Source organism: Homo sapiens, chromosome 3 (assembly GCF_000001405.40).
Source record: "Homo sapiens chromosome 3, GRCh38.p14 Primary Assembly".
In the NCBI taxonomy this organism is placed as follows: domain Eukaryota; kingdom Metazoa; phylum Chordata; class Mammalia; order Primates; family Hominidae; genus Homo; species Homo sapiens.
Genome location: NC_000003.12, coordinates 95,780,537 through 95,794,076, shown reverse-complemented (window position 1 = coordinate 95,794,076; position 13,540 = coordinate 95,780,537).

Below are 13,540 nucleotides of genomic sequence, written 5' to 3'. Positions count from 1 at the left end.
GTGGTCAGTTTCAACAAGGTCACTCAAACTATGATGGAATCATGTAAAGGTAGAGGTATATAATCAAGGACATTAGCTGGGAGGTTATTGTGGTAATACAAGTGAGTTGGGCCAGATAGTCAACAGTTGTGATGGAAACATTCAATGTAACCAATAAACTTGTATCAGATTTTATTTCCCACTTCTAAGACATTAAATGCCAATGAATTGTTCTCATTTCTTTGTATAGAAACATTTCTGAATAAATTTCTCTCCATATTGTTGCAATTAACATACATAATGAGGATAAAATACTTCCAAGTTTTTTAAATTATAAAAAAGTAATAATTTACTGTTATCAGCTAGTAATGGCTTTATCATTTAAAAACTTTGTGATCAATATTATTCAATACTTTTACCTATATTATTGGCATTTTGAAATTTAATTTTGTAGAAAAACTAAAATGATTAATAAATATTTAGAAGGGAATCATATATTCATGCAACAACTTTGTCCCTCAAGAGTGTAGACAATTTTTTTAAAATTAAAACTTCTTTATTAGCGGAGATAAAATAGTCTCAAATTTTCAAAGAATCTCTTCTTCTGTTGGATCAAGTCAAGATGCTTATCATATTCTTCAGGATCCTCATTCATCAGGTTCCAGCCTCCTCTCTTGGCTCATCCTCATAATCCATGACTTCCACTCACATCACCATCATCAACGATGTCCTATAGGCCTGTTTTCTGAATTTTTTCTTCCCCAAACAAATCCAGGCCCCTTTACAAGTTTAGTCAATTAACATACTATATTGTCCCTTTAAAATAACATTAAATATTTTTAGACAAATGTTATTGTTGTAGTATAGCTTATATATCATATAGTACCCAAATAAGAGCACACTTAGTTTTGATTTTTACAAAATGCATACAATTATATAATCACTAATCAAGTTATAGAAGTTACCGGTACCCTAGAGGCCACGTTTATGCTACTTTGAAGTCCTTACATATTCCTGAACCCTAATCAAAGGTAACCACCATTGTGTCTATTAAATTTTGTGCATATAAACAAATATTTACTGACTATTTAACTATACAAATATATAATAGGCAATTGGAGAACAGTTATCCGAATGAACCTATTAACTCTATGTACATAAATATAAATATCCTTGCTCCCAAATAAGAACTACTTACATTGTCATTTTTCAGTTTTTTCATCAAGGACGGGGCAAATCCTAGTTGTATTTCTATTCATTAATTTTTCTCTTATTACTGATAAACATAATGTTACCCATCAAGAAATTGTGATATTTAGAATGTAGTATTCTTATTTTCTGTGACTGTCTATTCAGCTGGCTTTTTTGTCCTTGAAAACTACGGTTGTTGATCAGTTATAGCAAGGTTCTTATAACTCTGAATATATCACTTTAATTTACTACTCGGCTTAAGGGGATTACATTTAATGAAAACATTAGTGACAGTTTCATACATGTGCATTATTTTACCGATATATTTTTGAACTTAGTTTTTTATCTCATGTATTAGTTCACGCCTATTTTTTCATTATCTATGTTACCAACTCCCAAATGTCAATAAAACAATATTAAACATTTACCTTTGATAGTGTTTTTTCCCAGTGATGCTCAGAATACATTTATTTTACTTCTGTAGCTTTTAAGTAACAGGAAGCCAGAAAGCTTTCAAGAACATCATGACATTCATAGCTTATTTCTCCTCAAATCTCTCCATTAATTTCCAGCAGGACATTATGTTTCTATAACTATGGTGGTTTATTTTGTAGTTTTTTTTTTTTTTGGAGAATGGCATCAACTTTGAAAAAAATAATTTAAGATAGAAAAACCAGGGAAAACCTTACTAAAAGAGAAAAGTATGTTCATTTTTGGTATGTAAGATGAGGAAAAAAATAAATAAATGTAGATAGGTTCTTTTTGTATTTATATAAATTCTGAAATGGAAAGCTTTTTTAAACATAATGATAAAATGGTGCAGTTTATATTTTTATTTATAAAGATTGAAGGTATTGTTCTACAATTTAATTTCACTAATTTCCTAAAACATTTTGTAATAGTAATATAATAATAAACATACTTATACTATAAATAAGTACTCAAACTCTTCTGTATATAAAATTGATGCATACCTGTTGCAAATAACCACACAATTCCAGATATTTTGAATAATTAAAGTTAGATAAATTCTCTGTTTGCTCTTTAAAACAGTAACTCATGAAATTATGAATTTTTATTGCCACTGCAAACATAGTAATCTTGGGATAAAATATAAATTGCCAATAATCATTATTGATAAAATGTCACACATGTGTACACACACACACACACACACACACACACACACACACACATCCCAACAAAACCTTGGCCTTTAATCCAATCTGGCAGTCACATCTCCTCATGGAAACTGTTGAGTAAAACTTGTTTCTGAATTGTATCCTCAAGGTCAATTGATCTGAAATATGTAGTCTGTTCCATTTGAAACATCTAAAAATTCTTAATGAAATGTCAAAGCATGTCATTCTAGAAATAGAATATTACGTAGAAAATTTATTTCATCTATGAATTTGATTTCTGTGTAATATTTCTACTTTTTAATATTATGTCTCTTTTTCTTGTATTCATCTAGGTGTATAAAGGACTTCAGTTAATTGTATGTGTTAACTTGACTGGGCAAAGGGATACCCAGTTAGCTGGCAAAATATTATTTCTGGGTGTGCCTATGAGGGTGATTCTGGAAGAAATTAGTATTTGAATCAGTAGACTGAGACCCACCCTACCCAATGTAGGCTGGTATCATCTGACCCTTTGAGGGCTCAGATAGAATAAAAAGGTGGAGGAATGACAAATTGTTTCTCTTCTTGAGCTAGAACATTCATGTCCTCCTTCATTCAGACATCAGAGCTCCTAGTTCTCAGGACTTCAGACTCACACTAAAATTACACCACTGGTTTTCCTGGTTGTCCAGCATGCAGATGGCCTACTGTGGGAATTCTAAGTCTCCATAAATGCATGAGGCAATTTCCATAATAAACCTCTTCTTATATATCCATATATTTCCTATTGGTTTCGTTTGTCTGAAGAACCCTAAGGATTGGTTAACAAAAAAATAAAAATAAAAATTTCCATTAATTTTTGATTGGTCTCTGATTTTTTTTTTGACTTGAGGGTATTCATTTAATTGGGAAATGTATTCTTTAGGACATTATTGCCGTGGTCTAGACTTTTTGCTACAGGTTGTTGATTCAGTGGTGAAAACTGTTTCTTTAAACTATGAAGTTTGTCTCTAAGAAATAGTAATTAATAAATACAAGTTGTAATAAGTGCAATAAAAGAAAATTCCAGGTCACTATTAGAAGTGATTATATTAACATTCTACCAAAAAGACACATGCTCACTCCCATGTTCATTGCAGCACCATTCACAATGGCAAGATATAGAATCAACCTAGGTGTGCATCAGTGGTGGATTCAATAAAGAAAATGTGGTACATATACACCATGGATTACTACACAACCAAAAAAAGAATAAAATAATGTCTTTTGCAGCAACATGGATGCAACTGGAGGCCATCATCCTAAGCAAATTAATGCAAAAATAGAAAACCAAATATCACATATTTTTATTTATAAATAGCAACTAAATATTTGGTACACATGCTCATAAAGATGAGAACCATAGACACTGGTGACTCCAAAAGGAGGGAAGAAGAGAGGGGAACAAGGGCTGAAAATCTTCCTATTGAGTATTATGTTTACTATCTGGGTGACAGAATCATCCACACCCCAAACTTCAGCATCAAGCAATATATCCATGTAAGAAACCTGCACGTGTACCCCCTGAATCTAAAATAAAAATGGAAATTTGAAAACACAATATGATAATGAGAATGGTACATTTAATTTTGTTATAAAATAAATCTGTTAATCTTTTGCCATCTGTTTCATATTTTATTTGACATAATGTTAAATAAACTACAATTTGTTTTAAATTGGAAAAAGTTTACAATTTAAAAAAAGAAACCATGACATGGAAATTTATGATTTTTGTTTACTTTATAGTTCTTTATTATGTGTTAAAATGAAAATTAAGTTGCAATTCTGAATCTGTATGAAAGACTTCTAAAATAGTACGAATTAAAAGGAAGAAGCAAGAGACATAGTAAAATACAAATCTAGAAAATTGGACAAAAAAGAAATATTTTCTATATTTTATTTTAAGGATTGACACATGCCAACTAGGAGAATCTGAAGAAGTTATTTCATGCCCCAAGACCCAATATCTCAATTGGTAAAGTGAGGATATGCCTGTGATTTCCAAGAGACCTGTGGATCATCAAGTGAAACGTATACATGAATAATCTGTGTATTTTAAGGCATTAAGCAAATAAAAGAAGTTAGCTTAAAGGCTTAGTTGTTTTCATAAATATAATGTGTAATTTTTATTTATTATACATTTGAGTCATTTGAAAAAATATCCCTTTTTTAATACAATATTTATTTTCACAAAGTGCTTTACATTTTCTCAGTTGCAAACTAATATATCACCAATACCAGTATCAGCTGTACACAGTTATTTTGATGCACTAAAATACTTTTAAGTTTTCATTTTAACTCAGATACTCCTTGAAACTGTTAATGTATTAAGCCCATAGATTTTATTACTGTTGACACTGAATTGTGAGATAAATGGCATGCCAGTTCTCATCAGGATTTCCGAGTGTCTGGCAAAGAGTGACAGCTGCTTAGAGCTTATAATTTGATGTCACATTATCTAAATGAATGGAGCAATTTTCACAGCAAAATACATATGGAATCAAACCTTGAAGATCTAGACAATACTTTTACTGATTTAAAATGAGACCAAGTATGAAAGGTATACATTTAACAATTCTGACACTGTGTTTGAAGAAACATGGAATGGACAACTGAAAACATTTCTGAGAAATTGTGAGCACCTCATTGATCTCATAGTAGACCATTATATATATAAATATATGTGAACCATACTTTAGTCTAAATAATATTCTGGGATTCACACATGGTTGTTTTTCTTGTATTTCTATGTTTCATTTCTTTTCAGTATTGATCAAAAATGACTTTTAAATTATTTAATTGTACTTAATTTTGTTTCAGATTTTTTTCTATTATTGATGTAGACATTCTCCAGAAACTGTTTGTTTCCTCCTGAGATTTTATTCAAGCATTTCTTGAAGTTGATGCCGTGCAGTGATGACACTATGCGTTGTGTAAGTGTAGCTGAAAATAAGTAGAATGCTATTTAAGACAAAAATAATTATAGCTGATTATTTTGAATAGGTGGGTGACTGAATGGAAGTTCTTCTAAAATAAAGAATACATTTTATAGAGATAAAGGGAAAGAAAACCCATATTTAACATTGGCTCTTGTCAAGGAAAGAACGAAATGTTAAAAGCTCTGCTAGTTCTTTTGAACAACTAAATGCTTTGAGGCCTGACCTAGTTGGCCTTTTTGTTATCACAATACCTTAATTTATTTTTGGATAAAGAAATAGAGATCTTGAGGTTGGTGCAGGTTAGTGAGCCAGTGGTTCCCATAAAATGAATACAATTCTGAATTTTGGGAATGAAGCCAGAGAGAGAAAGGGTGAAGTTCTGTATCCTCCTGGAAGAAAAAAAAAAAAAAAAAAAGAGGAAAAAGGAAAGAGATCTGAGAAGTCCTAAATAACAATGAGGCAGACAATTTGTCTGAAGATCAAGTTAATTCATAAAAAACTTTGGATGTGGAAACTCAGGAGTAGCAAAACACTTTAAGAAAACAGATGCATGGTGTACTTACTGCTCTGTTGTTCCATATAATTTCTCTATTAACAAAAATCTTCCATTAATATCCTGCTGCAAAAAAATACCTTCCTGACACTGACAGTGTTTTGTAAAACTCTGTAGAAGTGTTTCACTATTCTGTTCCATATTTGTTGAATAACATGTAAATGTAAAATTATCTGTACCAACCCCGGTAGACAAGGCAGGTGATGTGAAGAATTTAGAAAGAAGATAACATCAAAACAAGAGATAACAAGAACTATAATTAACTCTGTAATATACCTAGAGTTTAGGGGCAAAGCTGGGTTTCCATTCTTTTGAGGGATGAATAATCAAATAATTTGTATTAAGTCTTAAGAGAAGGAGTTATTTTCACAGTCTGGAGTCTCTGGAGATGTCTGAATAGCATAGTTTATGTATGCAAAATAGTGTCTCTAATAATTTGTGGCAGAGATGATTTAAATATAGCTACATGATCAGTTATTGCACTTATTTTTTTCTGAATATAGACTATATTTTTTTTCTAAAGAGAATTCTTCAGATAAGTGTAAGATTATGGATTAAGCATGACTTACATCTTCATATTAAATTCACGGGAACATGTGTTTTGAACAAGAATTTGTAGAGGTGGAAAAGAAGTGATCCCTTTCCTCCCCATTATAAAGGGTTATGGCTTACACCACTATAACAACAACAAAAAGTTAGCAAGAGAAAACTATAACATATTTATTGCATGCACACATATGCATGAGAGTAATACAAAATATTAAAAACTCCAAAAAGAGGGCCAGATGTTTGATACTTAAATACCGTCTCCACTTGGAAGAAGGAAGTGGTGAGTAATGATTGGGCCCAGAGTCCAGAAGATGGTTTGTAAATGATTCTCTTGGACACTGAATAGGAGTGAAGGACTAACAATAGTTTGTGGACAAATTATGAAAAGGTGGGGGAAATGTGGAACTGTATTGTGAATAAAGTTTGTCTTATGCAGATCCGGATCCCCCAATGACTTCTCAGAGCTGTCTTTATAAGGACAGATGAAAAGTCTGTAAAGGCATGGTGAAGACTCCTTGTCTCTTCTTTTCTCAGATGATAATGTTTCCTGGTTGTTGAATGAGATTCCTAGGGATCGGGATTTAAGAAAATCGCATTTTCTCAGTCAGGTAATGAAACTTCCAGAGAGAGCTCATCTTGGTGCTTTGGAAAAGAAAGAGGATCAGAGAGAGAGGGAGGCAAGGGAAAGTCAGAGAGAGACCTTGAGATCATTTCTTCAGTTCAACATGTCAAAATACCACCTTTTGGAGCATGTTTTCTGAGCCCCAACAATTTTACAAAGCAGAATAATCCAAAGACATAGATCAACTTTCATAATAATTAGAAGCCCCTCAACTAAAACTTCACTATAAATTATTTTCTAATAAAACCTTTCACATTGAGATATCTCTGATCCCTGGCTTTGACATTGAGTGACATTTCTAAATATAATCTTAATAAGTCAATGCAGCAGATAATCAGAGATAGGCAACAATTAATGACGTCTTAAACAACTTCTTATATTTCCTGTTATTTTCTTTTTTTTTATTCTTTTTTTTAAATTTTATTATTTTTGTACTTTAAGTTTTAGGGTACATGTGCACAACATGCAGGTTTGTTACATACGTATACATGTGCCATGTTGGTGTGCTGCACCCATTAACTGGTCATTTAGCATTAGGTATATCTCCTAATGCTATCCCTACCTCCTTCCCCCACCCCACAACAGTCCCTGGTGTGTGATGTTCTCCTTCCTGTGTCCATGTGTTCTTATTGTTCAATTCCCACCTATGAGTGAGAACATGCGGTGTTTGGTTTTTTGTCCTTGCAATAGTTTGCTGAGAATGATGGTTTCCCACTTCATCCATGTCCCTACAAAGGACATGAACTCATCATTTTTTATGGCTGCATAGTATTCCATGGTGTATGCATTTGACCCAGCCATCCCATTACTGGGTATATACCCAAAGGATTATAAATCATGCTGCTATAAAGACACATGCACACGTATGTTTATTGCGGCACTATTCACAATAGCAAAGACTTGGAACCAACCTGAATGTCCAACAATGATAGACTGGATTAAGAAAATTTCCTATTATTTTCTAATGTATTTGAGGCTGGAATAATCACAAATAAACAATAGAGAAATTATTTTGTAACTGCAGTCCTAATAATAAAATAAATCAAAGTCCCCAAAGAACATGGATAGGGTATATTTATCATTTTTTTCTCTTCTGCAATCTCTATTCTCCTCTACAATTTATACATTCAAAAACATGGAGACCTATTCTGTGATTTAGGAATAGCTGTGAGCCAAACAAGTAACAATCTCTGGTTCAAGGAGATCATATTCTGGTGAGGTAAACAGATATTAAATATAATAAATAGGGAAATCTAAGTTGAGAAGTTCTATGGAAATACAAGCAGCTTAAAAATGTTGTTTCTGTTTTCAGTGACTGGGCAGTGTAAATCTCAGTGATAAGGTAACATTTAAAACAAGAATCTGATCCAGTAATCCTTTAAGTTAAAGTAGAAGCTCAGCAACTCCTCATACATATTCTTGTTCTGTTATGTAATAATGTACATATATAGTCCTCATTTTTTGTATAGAAAGAAGATCTGGGCAAGAAATTATATCCTATATATCCATTATGTTCATGGTTTATCATTGCACACAACATTTCAGTTGATTTAAGCACATCATGATATATTTAAAGAAGTAGGGAGTTCAGAGTCACCTGAAGAACTGAAGAAATTTTATCTAAGCTGATATCCTGAGAATGATTTTATGTATCACACAATAAACTTTGCGATTTTCCTTAAATGCTTAAATATTGTCCTAGCTAGACATGAATACATAATACTGAAAATGAATTTTGAAACAAGAACACTTTTAATACTAAAGCTCACCGGGCAAAGAAGCTAATTTATTAAAGTTGCTCTTAAATATATGTATATTTCCTTATTTTGTCGGGGGAGATTGGCTAATACAACTATAAAGGCTCCATTCTGTGTTCTGTATCTTAGCTATTAGATTTGGTATTCAGTCTTATTTAATTTTACTATAGTCATTTACATTTTACATTGAGAAGAAGTTCATTCATTATCCATTTCCTTCTATTCTAGAATACTGAGAGAAACAAACATATCCTTTTAAAATGCCCATTCATCTTTTCAGTGAGTGGCACTGAGTTAATAAGATATCCTTATGGAAAAAATATTTTCTCATACTTCATGCTGTACAGAAAAATCAATTCCAAGTAGATTGCAGACATAAATATGTGTTAAAATAGAGCATTCTACAGAGGAAAATATATGGAACATCTTACTCACCATAGAGTAGGCAAATGCATTTTTAAACAAAATGCAAATATATCTCACTAAAAATTTAAAAATTTATATGCTGGACAACCCTGTGAGAAACTTCTGTTCATCACAAGGCAGCATTAATGACAGAATGAGAGAGTGCTTCATCACATAGAATAAAATATTTCAAGAATACATGTATCTGACAAAATCATAGCCCATAAATATATGTATTTATATATAAATATATAACAGTATAAAAATAAATGTATTTTATAAAATATATATTATATTTAATATATATTTTGTATATTATATTTATACTTAATATAAACATATAGTATAAAATATATATTTATACTATAAATAATAAATATACTATAAATAATATACTATAAATAATAATATATAATAATATAGTATAAATATGGTATAGTTATATATTTATACGTTATAAATATATATATATTTATACGTTATAAATATATATTTATACGTTATAAATATATATTTATACGTTATAAATATATATTTATACGTTATAAATATATATTTATACGTTATAAATATATATATATTTATATGTTGTAAATATATATATATTTATATGTTGTAAATATACGTATATTTATATGTTATAAATATATATATTTATATGTTATAAATATACGTATATTTATATGTTATAAATATACGTATATTTATATGTTATAAATATACGTATATTTATATGTTATAAATATACGTATATTTATATGTTATAAATATACGTATATTTATATGTTATAAATATACGTATATTTATATGTTATAAATATACGTATATTTATATGTTATAAATATACGTATATTTAAATATACGTATATTTATATGATGTTATAAATATACGTATATTTATATGATGTTATAAATATACGTATATTTATATGTTGTTATAAATATACGTATATTTATATGTTATAAATATACGTATATTTATAGTAAATGTGAAAAAGAAGATAATACTTCTACAGGACCTACCTTAGAAATATATGTAGGAGCTATGGCCATATTCATGAGACTGAATACTGGATCTACAACTTTAGACTCTGGAGTTTGGAAGTCTAGACTCTTAGAGGGATAATGTTTCAATTATAATGCATAACAAAGTTCTGTTTAAATTTCAAGTTATAATGCCACCCAGTCAAATCAGCAACTAGATGCCAAGGGACCAGGACAGGGAAAGAGTAGAGTCTCAATCCTAGCTTGGAAAATTGACTCCAGTCATTAGAGTGAAGTCAGGCTGATGTTACTCAATGGGAAGGGGTAGAGTATGGTACCAAGATAATAACTTAGAAATCTTTCAATAAACCTTTGACAAATTGTCAAGGTAAATGAAAAAGTGCAGTAGCTATGATCCAAGAAAAGCATGATGATTTGGGATTAGATACCTAAGAAATGAGAATCTTCATCAACCTACAGATAACAACATAGATACTCGGGACTGCCACCAGAAGTCAATGTAATCTAGAATGAGTGAGAGAGGAGGTAGACTAGGAGTATCATTTATAGCCTTGAACGCAGTTGGAATGGCATAAACTTTAGTTCATTTTACATTTCTTTTGCAAGGTTTTTCTAAGAAAAGTGGCAAATAGAATCTTGGAGGATAATCCTAGAACTTTTTCTATGAAATCACTTGAATTGAGAAACAATTTTAGGAATAAAGATGTGGAATATGATTGTTATGATGTGCCATCGTGATGCTTCTCCTACACTGTGCTTGATGAAGATCTCATAGATGAATCCATATCTGGGGCTTCCTTTTTGCTGAAGAGATACAGTTTGTCCAAAGTCTCCAGGTTACAAAGGTCCAGCACCCTCATCCCAGACAGATAGTATTATGAAGTGCCTTCCCAGCTGCAGAGTAACCTTGTAATATTGGCTGAGGCCTTTATGGTACTTGAAAATCTGTTCAACTTCCCTTTATTCCCAAACCTCTCCTATCTAACCTACTTTAGAGATAAAGGAGGTAAGATTTTATGAGTGCCTGACTACAAATCTACATCCTAGAGTCCATTTTCCAGGGAACCTAATGTGTGGCATTAAAAACACACTGTGGACACGTGCACACACACACACGCACACACAGATATAAAAACAAATTGTGGAATTGATTTGTAACAAATGGAAGTTTCATATTCATTGGTGAAAGTGTCATTTTTATAACTTTAACAAACAATTTGTTAGTGTATCAGTCCTTTCTCATACTGCTAATAAAGACATATGTGAGACTGGTAATTTATAAAGGAAACAGGTTTAATGGACTCACAGTTCTACACGACTGGGGAGGCCTCACAATCATGGCTGAAGATCAAGGAAGACCAAAGTGATGACTTACATGACAGCAGGCAAGAAAGCATATGCAGGGGAACTCTCCTTTTTAGACTTATTCACTATCATGAGAACAGCACAAAGAAACCCACCCCCATGATTCAATTACATCCCACTGAGTCCCTCCCACAACACGTGGGGATTATTACAATTCAAGGTGAAATTTCGGTGGGGACACAGAGCCAAACCATTTCACTCTACCTCTGGCCCCTCCCAAATCTCATGCCCTCACATTTCAAAGCCAATCATGCCTTCCAAGAGTCCCCCAAAGTCTTACCTCATTGCAGCATTAACCCAAAAGTCCAGGTCCAAAGTCCCATCTGAGACAAGGCAGTCCTCGGTCTATGAGCCTGTAAAATCAAAAGCAAGTGATTTACTTCCTAGATACAATGGGGATACAGGCATTCAGTGAATACATGCATTCCAAATGGAAGACATTAGCCAAAATGAAGGGGCTACAGGCCCCATGCAAGTCTGAAATCTAGTGGGGCAGCCAAATCTTAAAGCTCCAAAATGATCTCCTTTGACTCCATGTCTCAGATCCAGATCACACTGATGCAAGAGGTGGGTTCCCATGGACTTGGGCAGCTCCACCCCTGTGGCATTGCAGGGAACAGCCTCTCCCACCCCAGTTGCCTTCATGGGCTGGTGTTGAATGTCTGTGGCTTTTCTAGGTGGATGGTGCAAGCTGTCAGTGGGTCTATCATTCTAGGGTCTGGAGAACCTCTTCTCACAGCTCCATTAGGTAGTGCCCAATGGGGACTCTGTGTGGAGACTCCAAACCCACATTTCCTTTCTGCACTACACTAGCAGAGGTTCTCCATGAGGGCCCTTCCCCTGCAGCAAATTTCTGCCTGGACACCCAGGAATTTCCATACATCATCTGGAATCTAAGTGGAGGTTCCCAAACCTCAATTCTTAACTTTTGTGCATCCACAGGTTCAACACCATGCAGAAGCTTCCAAGACTTGGGGCTTGCACCCTCTGAAGCCATGACCTGAGCTGTACCTTGGCCTCTTTTAGTCAAGGCTGGAGTGACTGGGATGCAGGGCACCAAGTCTCTAACCTGCACACAGTAGGGCAGCCTTGGGCCTGGCCCACAAAACCATTTTTGTCTCCAAGACCTCCATTTCTATTATGGGAGGGACTGCCAGAAAGGTCTCTGACATGCCCTGGAGACATTTTCCCCATTGTCTAGGTGACTAACATTTGGTTCCTTGTTATTTATCCAAATTTCTACAGCTGGCTTGAATTTCTCTCAGAAAATGGGTTTTTCTTTTCTATTGGATCAGGCTGCAAATTTTCTGAATTTTCATTCTTTGCTTCCCTTTTAAATATAAGTTCCAATTCCAAACCATATCTTTGTAAAAACATAAAATTGAATGCTTTTAACAGTACCCAAGTTACATGTTGAATGCTTTCCTGCTTAGGCATTACTTCCACCAGATGCCCTAAATCATCTTCTCAAGTTCAAAGTTCCACAAATCTTTAGGACAGGCACAAAATGCTGCCAATCTTTTTGCTAAAACATAGCTAATAGAAGTGGAAACCTTTATTTCACTTCTCAATGAGTTTCTTATCTCCATCTGAGATGAGCAGCATTTGGTCAAAGCCATTCAAGAAGTGTCTAAGAAGTTTCAAACTTTCCCACATCTTCCTATCCAGTTTGGAGGTCTTCTGAGCCCTCCAAACTGTTCCAACCTCTGACTGTTACCCAGTTCCAAAGTTGCTTCCACGTTTGTGGGTATATTATTTATTTATTTATTTATTTATTAATTTTTTATTACACCTTAAGTTCTAGGGTACATGTGCACAACGTGAAGGTTTGTTACGTATGTACACATGTGCCATGTTGGTGTGCTGCACTCATTAACTCATCATTTACATTAGGTTTATCTCCAAATGCTATCCCTCCCCCCTCCCCGCACCCCACAACAGGCCCCAGTGTGTGATGTTCCCCTTCCTGTGTCCAAGTGTTCTCATTGTTCAATTCCCACCTATGAGTGAGAAC